At 51.5% G+C, this 4143-nt stretch overlaps 1 long non-coding RNA gene across 1 annotated transcript; it reads left to right on the top strand.

Moving 5' to 3' along the window:
• Positions 1-554: 554 nt before the first annotated feature.
• On the top strand, positions 555-3353 carry LOC105373336 (uncharacterized). Its single transcript, XR_938584.2, has 3 exons — positions 555-669; positions 2393-2508; positions 2764-3353. It is a non-coding gene; the product is annotated as an uncharacterized LOC105373336 (long non-coding RNA).
• Positions 3354-4143: the final 790 nt, after the last annotated feature.

Genomic DNA, 4143 nt, shown 5'->3' with positions numbered 1-4143 from the left:
GGACCACTGCCCACTGCTGAGGGGGCACTGCTGCCACCCAAGGCTGAGTGGGTGTGGTCATCACCACGTTTCCAGATGGTGGGACCACTTCCCAGGCTGTGGGGGTGGTGCTGCCACCCAAGGCTGAGGGGGTGTGGTCATCACCAGGTTTCCAGATGGTGGGACCACTTCCCAAGGCTGTGGGGGTGGTGCTGCCACCCAAGGCTGAGGGGGTGGGGTCATCACCAGGGTTCCAGACTGTGGGACACTGCCCAGGGCTGAGAGGGCGGTGCTCCCACCCAAGGCTGAGGGGGTTGGGTCATCACCAAGATTCCAGAAGGTGGGACCACTTCCCAGGGCTGAGGGGGCTGTGTTGCCACCCACGGCTGAGGGGGTGGGGTCATCACCATGGTTCCAGATGGCGGGACCACTGCCTAGTTCTGAGAGGGTGGGGCTGCCACCCATGGCTGCGGAACTGATATTGTCATCAGGGTTCCAGACGGTGGGCCCACTGCCCAGGGCTGAGGGATTGGTGCTGCCATCCAAAGCTGAGGGAGTGGAGTCACCACCAGGATTCTAGAGTCCATGGCCCCTGCTGAAAACTGAGAGGATGGGGCTGCCATCCAAGCCTGAGGGGGTGAGGTCACTACCAGAGTACCAGAGGATAGAGCCGCGGCACAGTCCTGAGGGGTAGGAGCCACCTCTATGATTCCAATAGGCGAGGCCACTGCCCAGGGCTGAGACGGTGGTGCTGCCATCCAGGGCTGAGGGGGTGAGGCCACTGCCAGGCCTGAGAGGGCGGGTTTCCATCCAAGGCAGAGAGGGCAGAGCCACCTCCAAGGCTCCAGGGGACAGAGCCACTTCCTATGCCTGAGGGGGCAGAACCACCTCCAGAATTCTTGGGGGCAGGGCTATTGCCCTGGGCTGAAGGGGTGGGGCTGCCATCCAAGGCTGAGGGAGTGAGGTCATCCCCAGGATTCCAGCTGGTCGGGCTGCTGCCCATAGCTGAGAGAGCCGGGTTTCCATCCAAGACTGATGGAGCGGAGCTATTTCCCAGGGCTGATGGGCAGAACCACCTCCAAGGATCCTGAGAATTAGGCCACTGCCAAGGGCTGAAAGGGCAGAGCCACCTTTAAGACTCCAGAGGGTGGGGCTGCCATCCAAGGCTGAGGGGGTGGAGCCACCTGCAAGGTTCCTGAGTGCGGGGCTACTGCCCAGGGCTGAGACGGCAGGGCTGCCTTCCAAGGCTGAAGGTACAGAGCCATCTCTGGGTTTACAGATGGCAGGTCCACTGCCCAGGATCCAGGAAGTGGAGCTACCTCCAGGGTTCCTGCCCAGCAGGGCCACTGCCCAGGGCTGAGAGGGCGGGGCTGCTATCCAATTCTGAGGGGCAGAGCCACCTCCAGGGTTCCAGAGTGTGGAGCCACTGCCTCAGACCCAGGGGCCTGAGTCACCACCACTCAGGAATGAGGGGACAGGGCCACCAACCAGGACCCTGTGGACCAGGCTGCCTTCTCATTTCCAGAGGATAAGGCTATCTTCTATGTTTGCAGAAGATGGGGCTCCTGCCCAGGTTTGAGGGGTCAGGGTCACCAGCCAGGACCAATGGGATAAGCGGAATCTTTGGTTATAGATGGTAAGGTGGGCCCCTGAGTTCCATAGGGTAGCATCCCCCTCTTTCTTCAAAGGGTGGGACCACTGCTCTGGGATGAGAGCGTCAGTTTGCCTCCTCATTTCCAGAGGGCAGAGACATCTCCTGGGTTCCAGAGAACCAGGTGACTGCCAAGGCCTGAGTGGGCGGGACCTCTACCCAGGGTTCAGGGGACAGGATTGCCATATAAGGATGAGGAACCAGGGGCAAGGTAGCCTCTTCTTTACAGACATTGGGGCAGCCACCTAAGGATGAAGAGGTGAGTCCATTGGACAAAGCCACAGAAAATTATTCTGAAGCCTTAAAACCTAATGGAATTTTACCTGCTGTGTTGCAAACTGCCTTAGACCTTTTTACCGTCCAGTCTCTTTTTTTTTTTCCGAGATCGAGTCTCACTCTGTTGCCCAGGATGGAGTGCAGTGACGTGATCTTAGCTCACTGCAACCTCTGCCTCCCAGGTTCAAGTGATTCTCCTGTCTCAGCCTCCTGAGTAGCTGGGACTACAAGCGCCCGCCACCATGCGTGCCTAATTTTTGTATTTTTAGTAGTGACGGGGTTTCACCATGTTGGCCAGGCTGGTCTCGAACACCAGACCTCAGGAGTTCCACTTGATCCACCTGCCTCAGCCTCCCAAAGTGCTGGGTTTACAGGCATGAGCCACCATGCCTAGCCCAGTCTCCATTTTGGAATGGAAATGTTTATCCTATGCCTGTCCCACCATTGTATTTTGAAAGCAGATAACTTGTTTTCTGGGTTTTACAGATTTACAGCTGGAGGGGAATTTTACCTCAGGATGGACCATGGCCCAAACTTTACCCATCCCTGAATTAGATGAGATTTTGAACATAACGTTGATGCTGGAATGCGTTAAGACTTTTGTGAGTATTAAAATGGGGTGAATGTATTTTGCAGGTGGGAAGAACATTAATTTGGGGAGGCGGGGCAAAGAACAGATTGTGATGTGTTGAGCTGTGCCCTCCAGAAAAGGAAATGTTGAAGTTCGCACCCCCAGTATCTCAGAATGTCATCTCATTTAAAAATAAGGTCATTGCAAATGTAATTAGTTAAGTTAAAATGAGGTCATACTGGACCAAGATGGGTCCCTGATTCAATATAACTTGTGTCTTTTTAAGCCGGCAGCCAGGAGAAGACCAAGACACACCAGAAGAATTCCATCTGACAATGAAGGCAGAGATTGGGGTTATGCAATTGCAAGCCAAGGAATACCAAAGATTGCTGGCAAACCACCAGAAACTACGAAGAGGCAAAGAAGGACTCCCCTACAGGTTTCAGAGAAAAAGCAAGGTTCTGCCCACTCTTGTTTAAGACATCTAGCCTCCAAGACAGTGAGACAGTACATTTCTGTTGTTTTAAGCTACCCAGTTTGCGGTACTTTGTCATGGCAGCCCTGGGTAACTAGCACAGACTCTGACATCCTATGCTGTCCCATACATTGATAGCCCCCTCACTCTACTCATGCTCTGAATCCCATGCCAGACCATCTTTGATGTAAACACCTTCATTGATCTGCTTGGGCTCTGACATCCCTCACTTAGCTCCCCTTAAACATGGATGGCTTCCTTTCTCCTCCTGGCTTCTGATTCTTTACACCAAACCAACCCCCACAAGGAACAACTTTTTCACTTTCTTCAGGCTCTGCCTCCACTTCAGGCTGCCTTCATCTGTGGTTCCCCTCCTTACCCCAGTTAAGCACCAACATCTAGAGCTACACCTCTATTTGGACACCTATCTTGCTCCAACCCACCTCTTGAATTGTTCTAGAAGTAATGAGAAGGGAAAGAAAAGAACAGGAAACAGGAAGAGATAAAAGAAGAGCCAGACTTGGTTTTAAGAAATACAATATGAAAGATGAAGTGAAAGCGTCCTTCATATCCCTTCATAATTTCATTTGCCTCCCTTTCTCCCTAGAGATACTACTATACTGTATTTATTTTCCTCTTTTTCATGCAGGATTTTATGCTACTACTACATAAATAATTATCCATTAACATGATTCAAATAAGTTAGGTCATTCCACAGTTATATCAACTCTTGGTAGGTTTTGCTCAAGATTATGATTTGAAATACATGTTGTTAATATACGTAGCTCCAAGTCTTTCAACTTAAACTGCTATATGGGCATGAGCGAAGCATAAACTTTATTTGTCCAGTCTCCTGTTGATAGGCATTTAGGAAGTCCCACATTATAATTGTGACTTTGTCTATTTCTTTTGTTATCTCTATTGTTTTTTTGCTTCATGTATTTTGAGTCTCTATTATTTGGTGCATGTCCATTGATTTCCTGGTGGATTGGTGGTTTGATCTTTCTTTCTTTCTTTCTTTCTTTCTTTTTTTTTTTTTTTTTTGAGACGGAGTCTTGCTGGGTCACCCAGGCTGGAGTGCAGTGGCGCGATCTCGGCTCACTGCAAGCTCCGCCTCCCAGGTTCACGCCATTCTCCTGCCTCAGCCTCCTGAGTAGCTGGGACTACAGGTGCCCACCACCAGGCCCGGCT

This window comes from Homo sapiens, chromosome X, assembly GCF_000001405.40.
Source record: "Homo sapiens chromosome X, GRCh38.p14 Primary Assembly".
Lineage (NCBI taxonomy): Eukaryota > Metazoa > Chordata > Mammalia > Primates > Hominidae > Homo > Homo sapiens.
The sequence above is the reverse complement of the archived record's forward strand: the minus strand, read 5'-3'. Positions and strand labels throughout refer to the sequence as shown.